At 47.2% G+C, this 24072-nt stretch overlaps 1 protein-coding gene across 4 annotated transcripts in view, besides 1 other annotated feature; it reads left to right on the forward strand.

Moving 5' to 3' along the window:
• Nucleotides 1-24072, forward strand: part of FLNB (filamin B) — a 163830-nt gene that overhangs the window by 129023 nt on the left and 10735 nt on the right. For 2 of the 4 annotated variants that reach the window (NM_001164317.2, NM_001457.4), the window contains 14 exons: nucleotides 838-1085; nucleotides 4414-4485; nucleotides 5206-5308; nucleotides 6029-6169; nucleotides 8477-8605; nucleotides 9376-9549; nucleotides 10762-10920; nucleotides 11205-11408; nucleotides 12406-12558; nucleotides 12661-12783; nucleotides 15931-16197; nucleotides 17347-17484; nucleotides 18516-18631; nucleotides 22110-22242. In NM_001164317.2, coding sequence (NP_001157789.1) covers nucleotides 838-1085; nucleotides 4414-4485; nucleotides 5206-5308; nucleotides 6029-6169; nucleotides 8477-8605; nucleotides 9376-9549; nucleotides 10762-10920; nucleotides 11205-11408; nucleotides 12406-12558; nucleotides 12661-12783; nucleotides 15931-16197; nucleotides 17347-17484; nucleotides 18516-18631; nucleotides 22110-22242 — 2160 coding nt within the window. The remainder of the gene's footprint in view (nucleotides 1-837; nucleotides 1086-4413; nucleotides 4486-5205; nucleotides 5309-6028; nucleotides 6170-8476; nucleotides 8606-9375; nucleotides 9550-10761; nucleotides 10921-11204; nucleotides 11409-12405; nucleotides 12559-12660; nucleotides 12784-15930; nucleotides 16198-17346; nucleotides 17485-18515; nucleotides 18632-22109; nucleotides 22243-24072) is intronic. The other 2 variants (NM_001164318.2, NM_001164319.2) reach the window with 2 other exon arrangements.
• Nucleotides 6318-6612: an enhancer, noted in NCBI's record as "tiled region #3708; HepG2 Activating DNase matched - State 14:Gen5'". NCBI's record gives its function as "activates a minimal TATA promoter and a strong SV40 promoter by Sharpr-MPRA in HepG2 cells {active_cell/tissue: HepG2}" and the evidence as "EXISTENCE:reporter gene assay evidence [ECO:0000049][PMID:27701403]".

Consider the following 24072-nt stretch of genomic DNA (forward strand, 5'->3'; position numbering starts at 1 on the left):
ATACTTGCCTTTTGGCCACACCTCTGGGTCTGTCATTCAGGGTCTTCCACAGATTGACTCCAGTCTTCTCTTCCACTCCTCCCTGAACAAACTGTTCTTGCCACCCTCCCTATTACTCCTACGCACTTGGCTCATATCTACCAATGTGCTTTTAGTTCATGCTTTTCTGCATTTCCTGATATGTGGATCCTGTGTAAAGGGGCGCCAGAAATCAAGAGAGAGACTGGTCACTGGGGAGAGGTTGCAAGTCTCCCTTAGCTAACAGCACCCATCCTTCAGGGTTCAGCCATGTTTCCTTTCTTTAGGAAGCCCTTTGTCAGTGCGGCAACCCTGGGATATAAATTCTTAGAACCTTTGCCTAGATATGCTGCCAGACACTTCTCTGAGGAACAGTTTGTTATTTTTTCTGTAACTTAGTTCCTCTTCAGCATTTCCACTGCAGTTGGAAATGTCGTTCTTGGTGCCTGGCCCTGTTAACATCTTGAGAGCAGGGACTGTGTCTTGCCCACCTTTATGTGTACCTGGCACTTAAGAAAATGCCCAATATGTTTGCTATTGAAAGTCAACCTTCATTGCCATACCTTTAAATGCTGGCAAACCCAGGCTAACCTTTAGTCAACACTCAGAGCTTACAGATGCTCCTTATTTAGTAAGTAATTGATGACGTAACCCTTTGAGCAACACCTGATCAGGGGATCTTTGGGATATCCCTCTGAATGGCAGCAGTTGGAGGCCTAACATTTACAGGCACAGACAACATGGATGGGTATGATTTGTTCTTGGGCCTCCAGGATGTGTGTCCATACTTCCATTCTCTTCCCCTGAACTCTTCTCCAGGTCCTGGAATCGCCTCCACTGTGAAAACTGGCGAAGAAGTAGGCTTTGTGGTTGATGCCAAGACTGCCGGGAAGGGTAAAGTGACCTGCACGGTTCTGACCCCAGATGGCACTGAGGCCGAGGCCGATGTCATTGAGAATGAAGATGGAACCTATGACATCTTCTACACAGCTGCCAAGCCGGGCACATATGTGATCTATGTGCGCTTCGGTGGTGTTGATATTCCTAACAGCCCCTTCACTGTCATGGTAAGGAAAATTCCTTCTCCCGAGCATGCTGTTATTGGTGGAAACTGTAACAGCTGCCGTTTGTTGAACCCTGACTAGGATATCCTCTTCACCTTTTTTTTCCTTTGGAAAAAAATTTGTTAAGCAGTCATGACCTTGTAGAGTCCCAGAGTAATCTCTAGAAACTCAGAGACCCTTTGGCTGTAAGGGTTTTTAGGGAATCTTACTGGCCACCAAGGTGTCTATCATAATAAGGGACTTGGGCAATATCCTGGCCTAAGCCCAGGCATTTTGAAAGATAACTCCTCAGAAAAACACACCTTTATGAAAATGTTTCTACATAAAACATGACAGGTTTTTAACCGGCCAGCTCTTCCTTCTTCCATCTTCATGGCCATTCTCCATGGCTGGAGGAGAGAGCTTCCTGATGCTGTTTTGTTTGGAGACTTGACTCTGAAATCCCAGGACTCAAAGTACCTCCACTTGTGTTTTGGAAAGATTCACACTTTATGTATGAGGGGGAAATACCTCGTCTTTTGCAGCTAGGAACATCTGGAATAAAAGGAGGAAACCATTATGCAAACACCTGGGTTAGTGAATGACCAAGGTCTTTCATTTTCAGTTGTGAGTTACTTATAGATCTTCCTCTGTTTATTTATTTTTATTATTACATAATAGATCTTCTTCTGAATATTCTTCAACCAGGAAAAGGGTTAGAAACCTTGGGGACATTACCTCATTGAACCCTCAAAACCAAGCATCGTTGGCTTTTTTACAAATGAAGCATGCTTGGTCTAGACAGACACCAAATACCATGCTGTCATCCTCACTGGTGTCCTTTGATACTGTGGTCAGCAGCCGCACTTGACCACAAGGTTTATAGGCCCTTAATGACCTGGCCTTGTGCACAGCCGACAAAGCACCTTCTAATTATTTCATTTTGTGCAGCAATGGAGAGGTGCATGAAGACTCCATTCCAAACTCCAAAGCTCAGGGACTTTCTTCCGAACAGTCTATACTCTGTTGTAGTATTATTCCCTTCCATCGACGTCTGTTTATCTGTAAACAGCATGCCAGAGATCTGGAGGCTCTTTTATGTCTCAAGTATGTAAATGTAAACACTTGTCAACTTTTGACATTGTTCATTTAAGAGTGTTTTTCTCCTGTAGGAAGAAAGAAATACAGCTGGGAAGTTGATGTCCTTATTCACAGAGAAGGGTACCAGTTGTAGTTTTCAGAATCTGTTTTTAGCCCATAGTGGGTTTTATCTGGTTGGTTAGAATTAGGTGGAAGGAGGGAAGAGCAGCCAAGCACTGAGCAGTGGTCATGGGCCTGCTGGTGCAATGATTTGGGGGTAAGAGAAGACCATATTGGGAAGGTCTACGTGAGAAAGTCAGAGTAAAAAAATTGAGGACCCTTTTTGCAGAAGTGGAGGCTTCCAAACTCAGTAATAAGTGTCTTCTAGCCCCTGAATACACACAAAGCAAGAATACTTTGTGTTTACCCACTGCCCCCTGACCACTGCTGAAGGCAGAAAGGGACGATCACCTACAGTACCTGGTTTGGGTCTTTATTCTCTCATTCCAGGGAGAGAACCTTAACTAGATGGACTGACTGACTGTTCATTGGCTTTGGTTGGGTAGATTCCCTGCTTCCCTCTATAAGTTTGACGCCAAAAAAGGACACCGACCAGCACTGCAGTCATAGCAAATGTCTCAAGGAGACCCACAGGGTGGTTTCTTCAAATACACTACTCACACACAGCACATGGAGTCATGGACAAACAGCTTAACTGCCCATTGCCTTTGAGAAGTCCTGGACCAAAGGCCATAGCTCAGCCATTGAAAGATCTTCCTTCTGACTGATATGTCCCTGCATAGCTCCAACCTGTGCAGGCAGAGGATAGGGCTGTTCCAAATGTCGCTCACAGAGCTGCCTTTGCCTTTCTGCAGATCCCAAGATACACACAAAGCAGTTAACATGGGTAAATAGGCCTTCCTCTGTAGGAGAGGGCTTCTGATTCTTATTCTTTCTTATGGCGGAAGAGGGTGTTGAGAGGGGTTCCCTTGCTGTTGGTTCTGTTGAATCAGGAGCATTAAATCTTTTTTGTTTTTTTTTGAGACAGAATCTCACTCTGTCACCCAGGCTGGAGTACAGTGGTGCAATCTCAGCTCTCTGCAACCTCCACCTCCTGGGTTTAAGCGATTCTCCTGCCTCAGCCTCCCGAGTAGCTGGGATTATAGGCACCTGCCACCACGCCTGGCTATTTTTTGTATATTTAGTAGAGATGGGGTTTCACCATGTTGGCCAGGCTGGTAACTCCTGACCTCCAGTGATCCACCTGCCTTGGCCTCCCAAAGTGCTGGGATTACCGGCATGAGCCACTGCGCCCAGCCATGAGCATTAAAGCTAAGATTTGTTGAAAATGAATTTATAAAAAACTTTAGAAACATTAACTGCTGAGCATGGTGGCTCATGCCTGAAATCTCAGCAGTTTGGGAGGCCAAGGTGAGAGGGTTGCTGGATCCCAGGAGTTTAAGACCAGCCTGGGCAATACAGTGAGACCCCATCTCTACCAAAAAAAAAAAATAATAATTAGCCTGGTGTGGTGGTGCACGCCTCTAGTCCCAACTGCTCAGGAGGCTGAGGTGGGAGGATCACCTGGGCCCAGAAGGTTGAGGCTGTAGTAAGCTGAGATTGCGCCACTGCACTCCAGCCTGGATGACAGAGCAAAACTCTGCCTCAAAAAAAATTAAATAATTAACCACAGTAGACATTTATCAAGTAAAAAAAGAACTTTTTCCTGATTCTGTGCTGCAGAGATGCCTTGTGTTAGTTTTTACCTACTTACACTTCACACACCTCACTTTCATGCCTGGGGTCACACCGTACATACTGCTTTCGCACCTTGCTTCCTTCCCTCAATGTGTCATAGGTACCCTTACATATTGATTCATTGGACCTGACTGCCATGTTCCACTGGACAGACTCACCAGAATTTATTTGACCAAATCCCTTCCAGATGGACATTGGGTTGCTTTAGTTTTGCACGACCACAGACAGCACCAGTCAAGGTCCTTACACACATCAATTAACTATGGAGTCTCCCGCCAGCTTAGGTCTGCGTGCTACAAGTGGGGTTGTGGGCTCACAGGGCATGCGCATCTGACAGTTGAAGAGAGGACACCAACTGCCTTCCAAAAGGGCAGTAAGAAAGTGTCCTTCGCTAGAGTGAGTGGCTCACTGCAGTTCAAGATGGAGCAGTGGGGGAAGCAGCTCTGTGGTGGTAGTCTACTGAGTGTATCCTTCCAGTATGGTTCCCAACTAATCTCCATTTGCCACTGACCAGGCCACAGATGGGGAAGTCACAGCCGTGGAGGAGGCACCGGTAAATGCATGTCCCCCTGGATTCAGGCCCTGGGTACAATTTTGGTTTTTTCCTTTTTGTGTTTCTGTGTTTACTCAGCCTTCATTTCAGAAAATCTGCCATCTGCTTCTGGGATTGCTTAAGCCCTGTGGGTGTCCTGGTCATTGGTGTGCCCCTCACTGATCAGCCCATCACGATGATCCCTGCTTTTTCTGTAATAAGATCACCTTTGCGTCACCATCCGTGCTCCACGAATCGCCAGCCGTCGTGTCTGTGATCACGCTCGGTGCAGTTTGTCTCTGTGTTTAAAGAGAAAGACAGACAGCTGTCTGCAGCCCTCCTGCTGCCTCTCAAAGCCGCCACTTGCACATTCAGTTTCTGTTCAGGGGGAAAGCCACCCACTGCTACTCTCTGCCACTTAAAATGCACCTTCTTTTCCAGGCCACAAGCAACTAAACCTTTCCAGATGGAGCCTCTTGGGACTCATAGACATTGCTGTCTCTCACTTTTCCACTTTCCCGTGGGTGCTGCTGGGAATTTTACAAACAGACTCCCGAGTGATTGCTAACAGTTGGTCAGCATGACCTCTCCAGTCCCTCAGGTTCTACCCTGGGTCTGGAGCCACTTAGACAAAGCCCATACCACAATGGGCAGCCGCATTCCCAAATCCCGGCCTCACTGGCTTGTAGAATTCCCAGCAGCTCTAACCCCTGTAGCTTCACCAGCTCCCGCTGTTGTCTGCTTTACCCAGTGACCACTGCCTTCTGTTTTTAGGTGACCGAAGAGGCCTATGTCCCAGTGAGTGACATGAACGGCCTGGGATTTAAGCCTTTTGACCTGGTCATTCCGTTTGCTGTCAGGAAAGGAGAAATCACTGGTAAGCACTTGCCATAAAGGCCGTCTCATTCTCACTTGCTCTCACGAGCTTCCCAGAATGGTGCTGGGGAGGTGTGTCCACTGTCCCCCAGACCCAGGCTCCTTAACCCAGGGTCACGAGTTCTTGGTCTCCGGTGTTGGGCCGTGGGCTCCTGAAACTACAGAATATGCCACGTGTGTGTTTCTCTGAAGAAGTGGCTCACTGACAACTTGCATTACTTTCTTGAGCAGTCCCATGATTCTCTCTAGGTTAAAAACTGCTGTGTTTAGATACCTCATGACTGTCGGGTTCTTGTTTGCCCCTTTTTCCTGCCTTCTCTTATTTGACTTTTCCAGATGTGACTTTGACACTGAGTCTGTCATACAGGAGTTCCTTTCTCCCCTCAGCCTCTTTTCAATGGCCCACTTCTCTTTGGTTTGATGCTCTATGTATCCAGCTGGTTTCATGGTGTTCTCAAGTCCTTTCTGAGCTTGATTTTGCCAGTTGTAGAAAACTCTTTAAGAGTTGTCTGCTATATTTTGTGGAAGCCAAATGGAACTGGAAAAAAAAAAAAGAAAAGAGCAAATGGTCTCTCCCATTGTGGGACTTGAATGTTTTAGGCAGCAACGAATGTTCTTGGGTCTGGAAACCTTTATTTTGAATACATCTGTGCCTTGGGCTCTGCTTCTCTGGGGAAGGTTGCTGGTGGGCTTCATTGCCCCGTCTCTCTGTGCTCCATAGGAGAGGTCCACATGCCTTCTGGGAAGACAGCCACACCTGAGATTGTGGACAACAAGGACGGCACGGTCACTGTTAGATATGCCCCCACTGAGGTCGGGCTCCATGAGATGCACATCAAATACATGGGCAGCCACATCCCTGGTAAGCTGAGTCAGCAGGCCCAGCAGGGCTCCACCATTCAGGGGCATCCGGGCAGCCTGCAGACACTCCTCAGCCGCTTTGCAGGGAGCAGCTCTCGGCAGCAGGCTGGAGAATGCAGCGTTGGTACCCCTGTGAAACCAAACAGTCTGGGACCCTAGCAGGTCCAGCTGATTTCTGGAAGGGATGATGTAGCTCAGTGTCTTGGGTCACAGTGCAGGCCTTTGGGTCTGTGGTTGTTTATCTTTGTCACTACGCTGAGTGTGGCCAGAGGTCAAGCTGGGAGAAAAATGGGAGGCATGGTGAGGGACTTTCCAGCCTGGCCTGCAGAGCCCTGTGTGGGCTGGAGGCTTGGGGCCAGGTCAGAGGTGGAAGAAGAGGACCAGCAGCCCTGGAAGAAGAGGACCAGCAGCCCTCTACAAGGGAAGCCAGCCCAGGTTTCATGGGTCACCAACCAGCACAGTGTCACCAGTTCATTCTTTCTTTTTGTAGTTGTATTTGTTTTTTAATTTAGTATTTTGAATAGGTAACACATTCTCATGGTTCAAAAATAAAAATGATACGAAGAAAGTTTTCCTTCCTACCCCTCTCCTTGAACTAGACTATCATAAATTTTTTTATGTTCGATTTCAGAGTTTCAGGGTTTTATTTTTTATTTTTTTGTGGAGATAGGGTCTCACTGTGTTGCACAGATTGGTCTCAAACTCCTGTCCTCAAGCAGACCTCCCGCCTTTGTCTCCTAAAGTGTTGGGATAACAGGCATGAGCCGCCACGCCTGGCCAATTTCAGAGTATTTTTAAGACTCTCCATGCAAACGGAAATACAGATATATAAGAGAGTGTCTTCCCAGCCTTCCCTCATGTGGACGAACCATTACATATTTGACCATTTCCCTATTGGAGGGCATTTTGGTTCTTCCTGCCCTCGCTGTCCCCAGTGTTGCTGCGCAAATCGACTTTTCCCCTAGTCACCTCACACTCACAAAGATGTATCTGTGAGATTTAGTTACCAGAGGAGGCAATGCTAGGGCCCCAGTGCAGGCATCTATGATTTTGACAGATCTTGCCAAATTGCCCTTCAGAGGGGCTGTTGCAGTTCACACGCCCTCTGGCCATGGAGAAGAGCACCTTCTTTTCCACAAAATTTGCCAGTAGAATATGGTATCAAATTTTTGGAGCTTTGCCAGTCTGATGGTTGGAAAGAAACAGAATCTCAGCGTTGCTTTATTTGTATTTCTCTTGTGAATGAGACCACACAACTTTCCCTATGTCTATTTGTATTTCTTTTTCTGTGAACTGAACATTTGGATCCACGGCCTGTTTTTCTATTTGGTTATTGGCCTTTGTCATATAGTTTCTAAGAGCAATGTAAACATTGGAGAGATTAGCCCTTTGTGGTAGGAGTTGCAAATGTTTCTCTGAGATTGGCATTTACTTTAGTTGTCTGTATGTAATATTGGTTTAAAGCAAAAATGTATTATCTGCTTCTATTTAAATATTCTAAAGCGGCAGATGGAGAGAGAGGAAAAAATGTCTTTCTCACATCTGCCATCCACTTCCACTGCTGGTGTGAGTTGTGTATCTTTTCAGATGTTTCTCTCTGTATCTACAAACATACATATAATTTTATTCTATTTTGTTTTTAAAGGAATAGCATAATGGTATTCATAGTTTATAGCAACTTGCTTTTTTTCTTTTTAATGCATCATATTATGGATAATTTCTCAAGTCAGTAAACATGGGTCTTCCTCACTCTTTTTAATGGCCCATGAGTAGATCAGCATTTATTTAACCGGTCCCCTGTTGTGAACACTTAGGTCTTTTCCTGATGTGCACCCGAACACTGCAGAAATGAAAGTGCTTACATAGGGCTAGGAGTCGGGGTGGGCAGAGAAGACCACTGTGGGGTTGATTCCTTACAGGTTGAATGGCATGGGCAAATGGCCTTCCAAAAGCCCTTTCCACTTACCTTCCCTCTGGCCATGGGTCCTTTCACCACCCAGTGCAAAAGTTTCTTCCTTATTTGTCAGGTTGGGCTGGTACCTTACCTTAGCCCCCTTCCTCATCTGGAGCAGCTTCCAGGATTGTTTTTCTTATGTTGTGATTGAAGGAATAATACTGCGTAGACCCTCTCTGATGTCCTAGGATGGCGGGGGATGGGAGGTGCATGTGCATCTCCTTCTGTCTCTTCATGCCTCTGCTTAGGAGGCGCCAGACCTGTAGAGAGGTGGACGTCAAGATGCCAGTTGTCCAGGGTCTTCGTTCACCCCTTAATGAGCACCAATTTTGTTTGTGTCCTTCGTAAACCCAGAGAGCCCACTCCAGTTCTACGTGAACTACCCCAACAGTGGAAGTGTTTCTGCATACGGTCCAGGCCTCGTGTATGGAGTGGCCAACAAAACTGCCACCTTCACCATCGTCACAGAGGATGCAGGAGAAGGTACTGTGTGGTTTACGTGTTTATACGCCTCCAGCTGTCCATTTGGAGGGTGAAGTGGACACGGTTCCAGGGTGGCTTTTAAAAGTGAGACAATCGAATGGTAGTATTTGTCTTGTCTTTTCTCTCGTGTAAATCTGTTTCTTCTTTAGAGCCGCTTCGTCTTCTACCCAGACAGACATTTTTGAAGTCCTTTGTGTTCTAACTGAAATCAGATTCATGCTATGAAATACTTTATGTGACTTGTCTGGAATTTAAGTGTGTTTTGGTTGGTGATGTTTTTGTTCTTGTTGCACATGTATCCACAAGACCACATGACTTACTGAGTGGCTCTTTTTGATAAAGCTGTGTGCCCATTCCCGTGGTATTCATGGATAATCCCAAATCTGTGGTTCTAATGGGATTTCCGTGATGGCAGCCAGTGCCTGATGGGCAGGGACAATCCACCTCTGCCCTCCACCACCCACCGTCTCCTATGTGTAATTGATGTACACGGCTCCTTCCTTTTCTCATCCCATGCATCCTGAGAGTAGAGAGAGCTCCAGGGTTACTTGCAGTGAAGAACTCAGATGTTTGGGGTTTCTTCTCAGTGGGTGTTTTTACTGCGTGGACTGCTTCATTCTGACAGATGTCCCTTTGCCCACAGCTCACGTGGAGTGCGTCAATCCATTGTCCCCAGCATCAGGGCTGCCCTGGATGAGTTGTTAAAAGGAAACTCTTAAAACAAGGCAACTCTCTCCCTAACACCCCTGCATCCCTGTTCCCACTTGTAGGTGGTCTGGACTTGGCTATTGAGGGCCCCTCAAAAGCAGAAATCAGCTGCATTGACAATAAAGATGGGACATGCACAGTGACCTACCTGCCGACTCTGCCAGGCGACTACAGCATTCTGGTCAAGTACAATGACAAGCACATCCCTGGCAGCCCCTTCACAGCCAAGATCACAGGTAGGGTTGTCTGGCTTCTGGGGTCTTCCTCGTGGGAAGTATGGCTGCCTCTGACTGCCACCCTCCTTATCAGACCCCTGGCAGCAGGCTAGACGTCTCTTTGAGTTTAGGTTTCACAGAGACTTGTTGAGGAGGAGCAGGGGATGGAATGCAATTTTGGATTAGCTAAATCCTTCTCTTGCTGATAATCCAGGAAAATGCGAGAGCTAGTATTTGGAGCACACTTTTATTGTGCCAGTGTGACTCTAGGGTGCAAAGAGAAAGCTCTCAGATGGAGTGTTCGAATCATACTTACTGCAATAGTGCATGAAGTGCATGAGCTTAGACATGCCCTTCAGCGTCACTACTAGGTAAATTTTCTGCTATCCCTTTTACAGATGGGAAAACTGAGGCTTGGCAAGGTAGTGGTGTAGCCAAGTTCACATATAGGTAAACAGATCCAGGTTATCAAATTCCAAAGCCCATGCTCCTCACCTTGCTGTGTTCAGGTTATGCTTTCAGTGGGTTATAAGGAAGATGCACAAGGCAGATCCTGTTTCCCCACCGTATTTAGACCTGTCTGTGAAGCAGCCAGTAGTACTGTGTGGAATGTGGTCATTGTTTACCTAGAAATGCCCACAGCCATGCCAGGCAGGTATGAGGTGCCTTCAACTAACAAAAATTCCTATATTTTATTTTATTTTTGAGACAGAGTCTCACTCTATCACCCAGGCTGGAGTTTTAGTGGCATGATCTCGGCTCACTGTGACCTCTACCTCCTGGGTTCAAGCGATTCTCCTGCCTCAGCCTCCTGAATAGCTGGGATTACAGCACCCACCACCACACCCAGCTTATTTTTGTATTTTTAATAGAGATGAAGTTTCACCATGTTGGACAGGCTGGTCTTGAACTCCTGACCTCAAGTGATTCGTCTGCCTCAGCCTCTCAAAGTGTTGGGATTAGGCACCTGGCCCAAAGATTCCTTTAAAATGTGGTCCATGAGGACTCAAGTCTCTAGGTCCTGCCAGCTTCTTGTCTTTGCTGCAAGCAGGCATGAATCCCATCATTCTTCATTGGTTGGGTCTACTCAGTGTTCAAGGCTCATTTTTTTTTCACTTAACTTTGTGTAATTAGTTCTTGCGTGTTCATCCGTGAACAGCATATGGCATGGCAGCTCTGTGAAGCCAGGGTAACCACATGTAACGGGAGTCCTTTTTGGGGGATGTTTCCCAGATGACAGCAGGCGGTGCTCCCAGGTGAAGTTGGGCTCAGCCGCTGACTTCCTGCTCGACATCAGTGAGACTGACCTCAGCAGCCTGACGGCCAGCATTAAGGCCCCATCTGGCCGAGACGAGCCCTGTCTCCTGAAGAGGCTGCCCAACAACCACATTGGTGAGCTAGGCTACCCTTCCTGGCTGGAGCCAGGACATCTTGGGTGGGAGATGGGGACTCTTGCAGTCCTTTCTTGGGAATGGGTAGCACAATGGAGTGTGATGTGATAAACCTGCTGGGTCACACGCACGATAAATGCCCAAGCGTATTTGTGCATTGTGATATCGACACTCTGGATTGTTGGGTGTCAGGAAAGAGGACATATTTCTATTTCTGAGAGTGTGTCTCTCTCCTGCTTCCTCTCCGCCATCCCCTTACAAGCCCCAATCTGTGTTCTGGTCCAGGCATCTCCTTCATCCCCCGGGAAGTGGGCGAACATCTGGTCAGCATCAAGAAAAATGGCAACCATGTGGCCAACAGCCCCGTGTCTATCATGGTGGTCCAGTCGGAGATTGGTGACGCCCGCCGAGCCAAAGTCTATGGCCGCGGCCTGTCAGAAGGCCGGACTTTCGAGATGTCTGACTTCATCGTGGACACAAGGGATGCAGGTCTGTGTGGTCCCAGGGGAGAGGCCCAGAGCTTGTGGGAACCGACTTATTTTGCTGAGGCAGCGTCATCTTTTCATCCTACCAACTCCTTTTCCTTTCTGAGCATCCTTCAAGCTATAGGTCCTTCTGCCTGCATTGTCTTTTATGCCTCATGACCATTGGCAAAAATGGGATTGTCTTTGTTTTTTAGATGATGAAACTGAGGCTTGCAAGGTTTAGAGCCCCCTCTGCACTAGGATCTGAACCCAGAGCCACAACACCTCGCAAACCCCTGTTTTCTTATCTGCTCTCCCACCCTTGTTCTCAGCTTCCCAGCGTCTCTCCAAGCAAAGAATGTTGGGTTGATTGGCCAAGACCATGGTCATCTGAGCAGAGCTTTTGTGGAAATGAAGCATCTCTTTCTGTTTTCTCTTTGAGATGGTTTGAGTTAGATTGTGTCTCTTCCAAGCTTGCCACACCCCAGTGCCTCCAGTCATCTGCTTTCTTGAAGGATGGCCACGCTGGTGAATTCTAGACAAATTCTAACCCGGGGAGAGGGCTGGAGAATTTCTGGTCCTGGTTGGGAGATACTCCCTGTTAAACCTTCGGATATGCTGACCTAGCTGAGGTAGCCAGGGGCTATTTAAAAATTCAAAATCTCAGATCTGGCTGTGGATAAACCCCCAAGGTGGTACGTGCAGTACTTGGAGGCGTGAGGGCAGAAGGTCCTCCCCAGCAGTTTGTACGGGACACATCATCTATGGGATATTAGTAAATATCCTTAAGGAAAGGCTTCTGTGGTCAAAACCAGGTTCAGCAGGTTATTTCACTATGGGGCTTCTCAGGACGCTTAACCTACTCATCCCCCTCTGGGCTTTGCAAACGAGGCCGCCATTGCTTTCTTTCTGCTATGTAGAAATAGATTGAGGCGTAAGGGTCGGATGTCCTTTCTCCATTCATCAGGCTCCCTCTTCCTGAGGAGCTGCTGTCAGAACAGCCTGGGGCTGCTGTGTTGCAGGTTATGGTGGCATATCCTTGGCGGTGGAAGGCCCCAGCAAAGTGGACATCCAGACGGAGGACCTGGAAGATGGCACCTGCAAAGTCTCCTACTTCCCTACCGTGCCTGGGGTTTATATCGTCTCCACCAAATTCGCTGACGAGCACGTGCCTGGTATGTGCATTCCATTCCCCTCCAGGTGGGATGCTTGGGTTTTCTGTAAATGCTGTGCCTTGGCCTCTGGCCTGCTCACAGGAGCCTTCTTGGGTCTTGCAGGGAGCCCATTTACCGTGAAGATCAGTGGGGAGGGAAGAGTCAAAGAGAGCATCACCCGCACCAGTCGGGCCCCGTCCGTGGCCACTGTCGGGAGCATTTGTGACCTGAACCTGAAAATCCCAGGTGGGCGTCGGGGACTAGTAGGGTGGGGAAGCCTTGGCTCCAGCCTTCAGGGCAGTGGGTGCCTTTGGGAACCAAGTTTAGGCATGGCCCAGAACACAGTATCCAAGTCGGCTGTGCTGACCTTTTCATTTCACTTCATTTCATTATGTTCTTCTATGTTTATTTTCACAGAGTCTCATCCAAGAAAAACAAATGTTTACCTTGCTACCTTTTTCCTCTTCCAAATAAAAATAGCTTTATTGTGTCACATGGGGGAAACGTAGATATGCTTTTAGATTTTTAGATTAACTATCTGTCAAATAGAATCATGTCAGTGAAAGAACTGGCCCTGCCGATGCCAGGGTCTGGAAGTATTTAAGAGGTGGCAGCCCAGCGGCATCCTTCTAGTATTTCTCTTTCATTCCTGAAATTAGAACGAGGGCTGTGCTGCAGAACTCGCTGGGCCACATCTAGCCCTTTGGTGGTGAATTGTTCTTCTTGGGCCCCGATTAGCCAGTCAACAGGTCACACAGTCTGTCTGAAATGTGTTCCAAGTTCTTTCTATAAAGAATCCTTCCAGAGGGAAGCCACTGTGAGTGAAAATTTTGAGGCTCCTCTGCCCAGAAGTTGGCATGTCCTGTGGAATTGCACAAATTCTACAGAGAAGGGAAATCTAAATCGTCTTCAGATGGAGCTTGTGTTGCGAGCTCTGGAGAGGGGGTTGTCTTTCTACACTGCATCTCCCATCCTTCCTAACGAGTCACGGAGCTGTCGACTCCGCCTTCTTGGCTTTAGTTAACAGGTTCTTCTTGTGTAGTCACATCAACGTCGGGTCACATGGGAATGTGGTAAAGCCTCATTACTGTAGAGTTCAGACATGATCACTTAAAAAGAGCTTTATTGGGCCGGGCGCGGTGGCTTACTCCTATAATCCCAGCACTTTGGGGGGCCGAGGCAGGCAGATCACCTGAGGTCAGGAGTTCGAGACCAGCCTGGCTAACATGGCAAAACCCTATCTCTTCTAAAAATACAAAAATAAGCAGGGCGTGGTGGCGGGCACCTGTAATCCCACCTACTCAGGAGGCTGAGGCACAAGAATTGCGTAAACCTGGGAGGTGGAGGTTGCAGTGAGCTGAAATTGCACCGCTGCACTCCAGCCTGGGCAACAAAGTGAGACTCCTTCTCAAAAAAAAAAAAAAAAAAAAAAAAGAGCTGTACTGATCGTTTGTAGTCATAAACAGTTCGTGTGCCTCAAGGTGGGGGGAGGAAGTGTCACCTCCCAGAGAGAGCTTGGTTCACATTTTAGGTACAGAGTTGGACCCTGGCTGCCCCATCCTCATAGCCACGTCTGCTCACTTTCCAGTCACATTGGTGTACTCATCCACTGTTTTTGTGGGCATCTTCCCACCTCAAAAAATAGACATCCACATCATCTCTTTCATGACCCTGATAAAATGCCATTTCATTCAATGGAACTATTGGTGATAGAAAAAGAGAGATTCCATTTCATGTCTAGATGCATCAACCTTCGTTACTCATCTCTGTGCCTCAGCTCCCATCATCAGGGCTGCTGTGACATTTGCCACCCTGTGCTCAGGCTGTGGGCTGGATGCCCAGGAGTGGGCTGGGCTGGTGCATTTCAGATGCTGCCATGCCTTGGCAGACCGCCCTCCACATTTCTCCATACTCCCCCACCAGCACTGGGGCTGTCTCTCCTTCTCACTTTGGCCAACCTGATGGAAAAACATGGCATTCAGTGTTCAGTTTCATATCTTCGATTACTAGTGATATGTGTACTGTGTTTTCTTTTCATTTGCTTTACATTTCTCATTTGGCAAAATTTCTGTGCTCTGCTTATTTCTTGAGGAACTAGCAAGTATCTGCAGTGTGGACGTTTACCCTTTCTCTTAAGTCTCTTCCAGCTCTTGGCCATTTTGTTATTCTTTTAGTTACTTAGTACCAGATGACTCTGGGTGAGGCTCGATTTTCCACTCATTACCCAAATGATCCTCTCGGAGATCCCCTCCTCCTTAATGGAGGACAGCTCACTAACTTCAGATGTCCTCCGGACCCAGGTTTTGCGGGGCATCTTTGTCAGTTTGGGCTGCTGTAGCAAAATCACATGAACTAGGTGGCAACCAACAGAAATGTATGCCTCACAGTTGTGGAGGCTGGAAGTCCAAGATCAGGTGCCAGCATGGCCAGATTGTGGTGAGGGCCTCCTTCCAGGCTGCAAACCGACAGCGTCCCCTTGTATCCTCACATGCTGGAGAACGGAGGGAGCCAGCTGTCTGGGACTCTTACAAGGCCACTGACCCCATCACAGGGTCGCTCCACTTTCATGACCTTATCTAATCCTAATTGCCTCCTCAAGGCCCATGATAATCCCATCACATTGTTGGGGGTAGGGTTTCAATATTTGAATTTTGGAGGGACACAAACATTCAGTTCATTACATGGGTGACCCTCTTTTCAACCTCCCTTCCCTTTTCTGTCCTCAGGGGTCAGAGTCATGAACTGCTCTGCCCAGATCCTGTGGGGCTGGAGGGTGCAGTTTCATACTGGCTCTAGGTGATGGCAGTGCTCCGTGCCCCGCATGCGGCCGCCTGGCCTCACCACGGCAGTGCAGGCACAGTCGTTGGCATGACGTGAGCAGCTCACGGAGAGTGATGTGGTCTTGCGTCCTAGCACTGGTGACCCGAGACATTGCTTTTCTGAAAGTGTGGCCCCTGGTCTTTGGTTTGCTCAAAGCTTTGCTCACGCATGGTTTCCCCTCTGCCATTGGGACTTACATATGTTCACCTTTTTCTCTAACTTTGTCTTGTTGCCTAAAAGAAATGCCAAAGCTTCTTGACGGTAAAGGATGATGGCTCTTGTTTTCTACCCTTACCTATCTGTGGAAAGGAGCCCGTCTGTGCATGATGGATGACCACGTCACCTTTGGCAAAAAGTCTCAGTGCCCCCAGCATGGGTGGCCTGAAGGGCCCTGCCCACTCCATGCTGGCCACAGAAGGGCAGGCACCCAGCCTGAAGGGAAGGAAGCCTGGGCACCTCACGTCCACCGGGCTGCACACACCTTGCTCTCGGCTGCTTGCCCTGCATGTCCTGCCCTGTCTCAGGCCCTTGCCCTAACCCTCTTCTCTCCCCCAACCTCCCTCCCTCTTTCAGAAATCAACAGCAGTGATATGTCGGCCCACGTCACCAGCCCCTCTGGCCGTGTGACTGAGGCAGAGATTGTGCCCATGGGGAAGAACTCACACTGCGTCCGGTTTGTGCCCCAGGAGATGGGCGTGCACACGGTCAGCGTCAAGTACCGTGGGCAGCACGTCACCGGCAGCCCCTTCCAGTTCACCGTGGGGCCACTTGGTGAAGGAGGCGCCCACAAGGTGCGGGCAGGAGGCCCTGGCCTGGAGAGAGGAGAAGCGGGAGTCCCAGGTGAGCATTGCGGGCAGGATTTTCACTTGGGAAGAATAGAGTTGAGCCCAGGCAGTGTGGGCACCCACATACTTTTTTGCCCCATTTGAAAGAGAAGACTTCTGATAGGTGGCATTAAGGGCATTATTTAAAACAAGGCATCATGACTAAGTCTGGCACAGTTTGTAACTAAGCTTTGCTCACTTACGTAAAGCCAAACAGGTTTCTTACTGGGAGCCTCCTTGGAGCCCGTATCTTATTAGTGTGCACCTGAGTCTCTAATTGGGGAGCAGAGTAATACGGTTTCCAGAGCATCTTTCAGGGCTGATGTTCTGTGGAACATACTAGAAAGCTACAAAACTGACTGTAAGCATCCTTTCCTGTGGTTGCCGCTGGTGGGAAGATCTGTAGGGAAAAAATGGAACATTCTCATCTTTCTCTGGCTTGGTTAAGGTGTATTCATTTTTTAAATTTTTTATTTAATATCTTTTTCTCTCTTGTTTGTTAGAGATGGGGTCCCACTATCTTGCTCAGACTGGTCTTGAACTCCTGGGCTCAAGTGATCCTCCTGCCTTGGCCTCCTAAAGTGCTGGGATTATAGGCATGAGCCACTGTGCCTGGCCGGTTAAGATGTATTCAGGGCTGGGCGTGGTGGCTCACACCTGTAACTCTAGCACTTTGCAAGGCCGAGGCAGGCAGACTGCCTGAGCTCAGGAGTTCAAGACCAGCCTGGGCAACACGGTGAAACCCCATCTTTACTAAAATATAAAAGAAATTAGCTGGGCATGGCGGCATGAGCCTGTAGTCTCAGCTACTCGGGAGGCTGAGACAGGAGAATTGCTTGAACACAGGAGATGGAGCTTGCAGTGAGCTGAGATTGCACCACTGCACTCCAGCCTGGGCAGCAGAGCAAGACTCCGTCTCAAAAAAAAAAAAAAAAAGACATGTCTTCAGAGGACTCCAGATGTCCTGTGAATTTAGTTATCACTAGTGATGCTTAGGAAACTTCAGCAATGGACCTTGGACCTTGCTTGGGTTCTGCTTGGGGTTGGAGAAAGAGGAAAGGGCTAGCAACAGACGAAACCTAGCACTGCAGGTTTGAACAAGGATGGAAGAGGGACAGGGGCTCTGTGGGGCTCAGTCACTAACCAGGTTTCTCTTTGCTCTCAGCTGAGTTCAGCATTTGGACCCGGGAAGCAGGCGCTGGAGGCCTCTCCATCGCTGTTGAGGGCCCCAGTAAGGCCGAGATTACATTCGATGACCATAAAAATGGGTCGTGCGGTGTATCTTATATTGCCCAAGAGCCTGGTATGTATTCAGGGTTCACAAGAGGACATTTTCCTTGTTTGAACATGATTAGGTTGCAAGGAACAGAAATCCATCAAGTTTGCTGAAGTCAATGAGGAATCTATGTGTATGGGCACATGGGACAGCCTCCTAGAAATCCAGTTGCAAGATACATGGCCAGACCTCTTAAGGGTGGGAACGCTTGTTCTGGTTGCCTTTTGCCTTTCTCCATTAGCCTCTCTGCTTCTTGCTTTCATTCAATTGCTCCATTCTTTCCACCAACCAGCCTCTGTCTGCCCACCCATGGCTACCCTGGCTGGCTGCCCCAGAAGAGTGGCCTTGGCATCTGAGCTCCCTCTAGCAGGAGCTCTTAACCTTTTGTGTGCCATTGACTCTTGCCATCTGGCGAAGCCTATGGGGACTGTTCTTGGGATAATGTTTTAAAGCACATAAAATGAAATATGTCACATTATAAAAGAAATCATTGATATTATAGTACAGTTACCAAAATCTTACAAGAACAAATATGCAACATAGAAACATGCATATCTTCGTTAATACATTAAATCATAAGATTTGGTGACAGTATATTAACTGTCATCAAAGTGACAAAGTAATAAGTGAAAATGATACGTCAAAATAACTGTAAAATGACATAAAAATATATGATTTTTAATGGTGATGTAAGTCATATGTACTTATAATGTGCTGTGATTTCTTGTCAACATTTCTGAAGAAAGGAAATGGTAAATTTCAGTTAGAGAATGGTGAAAATTAAAACGTAATTTTTTCCCCATTGAAGTCCATGGATCTGCTGAATTCAATACAGGCCATTTGGGGACCCTGTGAGCCCCGGTTAAGAGTCCCTGGCCTTACCCCACTAAGGAAATCATATCGGCCCAGCCTCAGCCAGGCGACTCCCACTCAACCAATCAGCTGTGGCCATTGAGGAGGGCTGGGTCTCTCTGAAGGCATTTTAGCCCTTGGTGAGAAGCAAGAGTCCACTCTGGGTCCAGAGTCTCTGAAATGATGGGACTTTCCTGTCCTCATAGGTAACTACGAGGTGTCCATCAAGTTCAATGATGAGCACATCCCGGAAAGCCCCTACCTGGTGCCGGTCATCGCACCCTCCGACGACGCCCGCCGCCTCACTGTTATGAGCCTTCAGGTGAGATGCAAGGAAGCATCCATCTCCTTGGCCGCAGGCCACCAGTGAGACCCCTGGACTCCTGAGGCTGCTTCAATGTCCCCTTAGGTGCTGAGGCCCCTTTTCACATTTTGACCACAGATGTCACCCAGTCACTGGGGAGCTTTCCTGTGGCAGAGTCAACTCCCCATACACTTAGGGCGGATGACACTTGGGGCGAGCAAAAACAGAGCCACAGTCAACAACACACCTTAATGTTTGGGGACACGTTTGTTTTTAAAGGTTTATTTAAGAGAAACAAAGGAAGCCTGTTCATAACTGGTTAAGGGATAACAAGGGCTTTCAAAACAAAACCAACACAAAAATAACAGTGCAGTGATGTTTTAGCCTGCTGTTGTTGGCTGCCTTTCTTCAAGAAAGTCAGTTGCAACTTACTGTGATTCATTAATAAGTGTGCAGGGAACTATATTAAGAGCTTTATCAGTGTTACCTCAGTAAATCCTTGCAATAGCCTGACAAGTAGGTTCTCTTGACCCCATTTTAATGATGGAAAAACAGAGATACAAGGAGGTTTTGTCCACTGGGAACCAGCTAGTATGAGGCAGAACAGGCACAGTGTGGCTCCAGAACCTGTATTTTTGTTTGTTTGTTGTTGTTGTTGAGGCAGAGTCTCGCTCTGTCACCCAGGCTGGAGTGCAGTGGCATGATCTCGGCTCACTGAAACCTCTGCCTCCCAGGTTCAAGTGATTCTTCTGCCTCAGCCTCCTGAGTAGCTGAGACTCCAGGCACGCGCCATCACACCCGGCTAATTTTTGGATTTTTCGTAGAGATGGGGTTGCACCATGTTGGCCAGGCTGGTCTCAAACTCCTGACCTGAGGTGATCCACCCCACTCAACCTCCCAAAGTGCTGGGATTACAGACGTGAGCCACTGTGCCTGGCCAGAACCTGTGCCCTTAACGGCAACCTCTCTAACCCCCACCTGATGTTGTGGCACACGGTTGCATAGTCCATCCCATTAGGATACCAGGAGATGCAACATTTTTCCTCGTCCTAAACAGGTCACTTAATTCAAGGTTGTACTAGCACCTTCAGCCAAACTAAGAACCATCGGGGATGCCTCTGGGTTTTTGCCCAGGACACTGAAAAATAATTAGGTGTCTGAACTGGGAGTAGCAATTAAGTTGTGAAATAACATCGAAATCCCAAAGTATGATTTCTGGGTAAGAGTTTCTAAATAGCCTTGAGCTGCCCCCAGTTCTTGAAAATATTGGATTCATTAAAATCCAATCTGATGTCTAAGATTGGTGATATCATTGGCTTTAGTTCCATACACTTGGTTTACATTTGAGATTCTAATCTTACTCTGAGGGGAACTGGGATACCTCCAGTTGTTCCAAACATTAGTCTTTCATTTAGAGACGTAAACAGAACCCAAACCAGACTCAGTCCACACATTGAAGCGGCCTCATCCGGAGAATACCAAGGGTACTAACTGGTTACTGTGGTGTAGATGTTTTTCTTGTGTTTCATTTAAAGGCTTCTTAACAGAAGTGTCTTTTGTGGCCAACTTAACTAAAACCTACGGAGGGAGATAAACCCAGCACTTATTGAGGGCAGGAGCTGCCCTCATGCATCTCGAAGATTTCTTTCAAATCTGCCGAGGCATTTATCTCCCTCTTGAGGATTTAGCGGCAAGCGGATTCAGGTAATGTAAATGATTCTGTCTAAAAGGAGCTGGTTTGGAAAAATCCCCTCCAGGAAACTTCTGTAGAGTGCTCTCGTCATAGCTGGGTCATAAATGTTTCAGTAAGTGCACAGCAGGCTGTTTCTTAAGCTTTTGTAACCAGCTGCTGCCGCAGGAGAAGTGTGTTCATCAGCATCGCCCCCTGTTCTTCCCGGGTCATTTGATGCCGAGTGATATGTAAATTATTGATCAGAGATTTTGCGGAGGCCCACGCAAGCAACATCTGGTGCTGGTTAGCAAAGAGAGGCATGTATCGTTTTGTCTTGCTTTTGAGACTTTTTAGGAAATTGGAGTAGGCTGGCACTTGGGGTGGGGGTGGGATGGGAGTGATCTGGTGATCAAAGACCCTCTAATTCTGTGTTCTGTCCTCCCTCCTCAGTCTATATCCCCTAGGGCAGCACAGTCCAATAGTAGGTTCTGCAGTGATCAAAATGCTTCAAGTCTATGCTATGCAGCATGATAGCCACTAACCATATGTGACTATTGAACATCTGAAATGTGGCCAGAGGAACCAAGGAGCTGGATGTTTAGTTTTATTTAAGTGCATTAAGTTGAAATATATGTATATATGGCCTCGTGGCTGGTGACTACCAAATTAGCCAGTGCAGCTTTAGGACCTTGCCATGAAGATGTGGTTCTTGGGCCAGTTCTTGGACCTCAGCATCACCTGAGAACTTCAGTCCCAGACCCACTGGAAAAGAATCTGTATTTTAATAAGATCCCCAGATGGTTTGCTTACACATTAAGTGTGAGCCATGCTGCTTCAGAGTTATTGCCTGAGGAGTGGCTGTCCGACCAAGTCTAAATCAAAATTACTGACTTGTAAAATGCTGCTGTTCAGGATTGGCTAGTCTTAAAATATCTCAAATGTTGTTGCTCAGCTTTGTTCTTAACCATCTGAACTTCTAATCCCCTCCTCCCAGAAGAGGAGATAGTTTCCAAGACAAAGTATGGGGAGTGAAACTGATCCAGGGAAGAGCAAAAGCTATGTCTTTCTATGGCTTCTTGTGGGGATACAACCTCTAAATGCATATTAATATTTAATAATAAGCTGACGTTTTCGAGCCTCTCTGTGTATGGGCTAGGCCCTGTGATAAATGTTTTGCATGCACAGCTTCATTTGATCTTTATAGTAGCCCTCGAGATAGATCGTTATTATGCCCATTTTACAGATGAGGAAACTGAGACTCGAAGAGGTTTGGCACCCTAGATATATAGCTAGGAAATGGTAGGAAATCCAGATCCAGCTGATTCTTAACTGCTATGGAGTACTGCCTTCTTTGCACACGTAGCCCTTTATAATATGTTCCTCCAGGTCTGCCCTTGAGATAACAAACAGCATAACATAAAACTGTGTTCGTGTTCGTGAGTGCATGACTTTGTTAGCTGCAGTATCCTCTTAAAAGAGGACACTTTTTTGACCTGGAACATACTGGGTTTTCTGGCCTGCATGGGCATTATTTTGGATGCTGAGATGATAGTCCTTTTGACCAGGATGTCTCAAGTATCCAAGCCCAGAAATCATCTCTTCTAGGCTGAATCAAGATGGTTTGCATAAGAGACCATGCAGATGCACGTCTCTGCTATCTTACATTAAAAATGCAGAATGGCTCACCTGCCCTTTGTTGTCATATGTTATATAGAAAAACCTATTTGCATGAGAACTGTCACCCACAGTTTTGGGTAGGGTCAGTGTGTGCCACTGAGCAGGAACGCCGAGGGCCATAACCTGTCTGATGTATTAAATTCTCAGGAATCGGGATTAAAAGTTAACCAGCCAGCATCCTTTGCTATAAGGTTGAATGGCGCAAAAGGCAAGATTGATGCAAAGGTGCACAGCCCCTCTGGAGCCGTGGAGGAGTGCCACGTGTCTGAGCTGGAGCCAGGTGAGCAGGAGGCCTGCTGGGGGGTCCCAGCACCAGCACTTTCCAGCAGAATGTTCCTGTAAATGTGTGTCCCAAGGGAGGGCTGATCAGTTTCATTACTGCCAGTGAGCCTCTGAATTCCCTTTGCTGTTGCCAGATATTGTTTATAAATTAGGGTTTAAACATGTGCCAGGGATAGGGAGACCCTTTATGCTAGGAGAGAATGCTCATTCTTTCTTTCTTTTTTAAACAAATGCTGGGCTGGGTACAGTGCCTTAACCTGAGAGGTCAAGGCTGCAGTGAGCTATGATGCAGTGAGCTATGATTGTGCCACTGAACTCCAGCCTGGGTGACAGAGTGAGACCCTGTCTCCAGAAAAAAAACAAAAAAACAAAAAAACACATACACACAACACAAAAACAAATGCTTCTTTGTTTTCTGTTAGTTTTTCAGATTCCTTTTGCATGACATTCATCATAATTTTTCTTTCATATTGTAACAACATCTTACAGATTTTTATTCATTGACCTTATGGCACGAGTAAGCATATTTTGATCTCACTTTACTCTAAAGGAAAAGTAGGTTAATGTTCTGTAAATTTAAAAAAGAAAATCTGGGTCTCTAGGCCCTAATGTCCTAAGATTTTTCTTGCTTGGTGCCTTGGTATATGGAATTCTCTGATTTAATCAACTTTAAAGAGACAGTGTTACCGGTGAACATAATAAATTTATTAAGTGTCAGAAACTTGAAGGAAGGTATAAGGCTCAAAGAGTTGCTCAAAGTTTAGTGAAGGCCTGGCCAAAAAGCAGATGATGACCCCAAATGATCACTAGTACCACAGGAGAACTGTGAAGCAAATGGTAAAGATGGTCAGAGCAGGAGAGAGAAATAGTTTCTGCCTCGGTGAGTTCAGGAGGGCTTCTCAGAGGAGGTGACATTTGATGTGGGCCTTGATGTATGAGGAGGAGACCTATGATTACTGCCTTATAGGGCATTTGTTGTGTGCCTGGCTGTATTTGTATAGTGTAGTTGGAAATCTAGGCTCTGACCAGGCATGGTGGCTCACACCTGTAATCTCAGCACTTTGGGAGGATCAGTTGAGCCCAGGAGTTTGGGACCAACCTGGGTAACATAGTGAGACCCCTTCTCTACAAAAAAAAGTAAAAAAAAAATTAGCCAGGCATGGTGGCACACACCTGTAGTCTACTTGTGGGGGATGAGGTGGGAGGATTGCTTATGTCCAGGAGGTCGAGACTGCTGTGAGCTGTGATCATGCCATTGCACTCCAGCCTGGGTAACACAGCAAGACCCTGTCTCAAAAAGAAAGAAAAAGGAATGTAGGCTCTGTGTGAACATTTAGATCTATGTTTCCTAGTAGGCAGAAAGGCAGTGGGGAGCCTCAGGAGGAACAAGTGTAAAGGATGGGGTCAGATCCTGGTTTTAGTCTGAAAGGCCAAGTGGCAAGCTGGTGCTCCCAGAGTGGTCCATTTGAGGAAGCAGTGGCACTGGAAATGGAGAGGAGGGACTTGAGGCCAGAGATCTATGGTGGCTATAGAGAGTGAGAGAGAGAATCCATTCCAAAATGTTCCACGTAGCTTAGTGATTGGGTCGGAAGATGACAGTGCAGTTATCAGAACTAGGGCCAGCCAGGCAGAGGGTGGGTGAGGATTGGTCAGGGCCTTAAAGGGTTTAATATTTTACTTTGAGGGGTTTTGAAGGATCCCCAATACCCAAATGGAGATGTTTACTAGATCACTGTGAGGTTTGGTGGCCTCAGCCCCAACAGTCCCTCACTGGGTACCCTCCCTCTTCTCTTAAAGCCAATGTGCTTCAGGGGAAGCTAACTCCACC

The sequence above is a fragment of the Homo sapiens genome, chromosome 3, assembly GCF_000001405.40.
Source record: "Homo sapiens chromosome 3, GRCh38.p14 Primary Assembly".
In the NCBI taxonomy this organism is placed as follows: Eukaryota; Metazoa; Chordata; class Mammalia; order Primates; family Hominidae; genus Homo; species Homo sapiens.